The sequence below is a fragment of the Homo sapiens genome, chromosome 20, assembly GCF_000001405.40.
Source record: "Homo sapiens chromosome 20, GRCh38.p14 Primary Assembly".
Taxonomy (NCBI): domain Eukaryota; kingdom Metazoa; phylum Chordata; class Mammalia; order Primates; family Hominidae; genus Homo; species Homo sapiens.
Window position 1 is genome coordinate 1,439,537 of NC_000020.11, and position 1,514 is coordinate 1,441,050.

Sequence of the window (1,514 nt, forward strand, 5' to 3'; positions counted from 1 at the left end):
GCCTGGTATAAGATGGAACCTAAGTTCAAAGCCTGCCCCAAGCCTCCACATGCCCTCTGAGTTTGTCTCTTGAGGAAGGACAACTTTTTTGCCTTTTCGTCAGAGAACCAACCTTTAATCACCCTTCACAACCCAGTTCAAGGGTGTCCGCTTCCGTTTTCCCTGTCCCTCCCTGCCCGACCCAATCGTCCCTCCTGCCACTGCCTTTGTGCCTGCCTTTTTCACAGCAGTAGAGCCTCGGGGTCAAGGGCTGTGGCTCTGCGTTCAGGTAGTTGGGGATTCAAATGCCTCTTACTCCGTGTGTGGCTTCAGGCAAGTCCCATCACCGCTCTAAGCCTCAGTAACTTCTTCCATAGTGGGCTAACCATGGTACCCTTGGGTTGTTAAGGCACAAACGGCCTGGCACAAAGTGAGTGCTCAAATGATGGCAGCTGCTATTACGATTAGTAGTAGCAAGTCCTAGTCCTGGCATTGAGGTTCTCAGTTGCTCAACACGGAGGGTAACTGGCCCTTAATAAACCTCTTGGTCCAGCTGAGACAGGGCAAGAAGGGACTGGGGACATTCCTGTCACACCCGCTTCCTACCCCAGACACATCTTCTTAGCACCTGTTGCAGGAACACCCTGTGGCTCTAGGTGCCCTTTAGGACGCCCCCTCATGGCTGAGAACCTGCTTTGGGAGGAGGGACTGCAGTTCCCAAGCAGGCACCACATGGGGGTGCTTTAAAAGCCTTCTTGCCTTCCATCCTTTTAGATAAGGTCTGGTCTCCATTTCACAGGTTCATCCAAGCACGCACTTGTTGAGGATCTACTATGCGTCAGACACCATGCCACCTGCTCCGGATACAAGAGTGAGGAACAGGCATTTCTGCCCTCATGGAGTTTATAAGCTAGTGGGGGGACCAAGGAAACAAGCACGTTAATAAATAGAGTACATATTAGATGGAGCAGAGAGAAGAAAAATGAAGCAGGTCAAAGGGATGGAGGGTGGTGGGAAGGGGCCAGGGCCTATGGGGCTCTGCAGGTCTTAGAAGTTTCCAGGGGTAATGGAAAGCTCCCAAGGACGTTAAAGGATGGGAGTGGCAGGCTGTGGTTAATGGTGCCAAAGAAGCCCTTTGCCTGGGTGGGGCAAGGGCAGAAGCTGGGGGACTGATGAGATTCTGCAGTCATAGGTGAGTGACTACGGAGGCTGGCCCAGATGATCGTAGGGGAGGGGTGACCAGGGGCACCCAGAGGATTGCTGATGGACTGGACATGGCATGAGATGAGGCCACCGAAACAGAGAGGCACAGTCACAGTGCAGGAGCTCAGACTGGGACCTGGGTCAGATGCTACAAGTCAAAAAGTGTTTTCTACTCTGCTTCCCTGTCCTGGCCTGGGAAGAGTGTGGCCTGGAAGAGGGGGACTGGGATCCCCAGCCACACACCCTCAACACAGGAGCCCAACGCCCATTTAAAGAAGGAAGGCCTTTTATTTGGGCCTGGGAATCAGGAGTTGGCAGTTCTCTCTGAAATG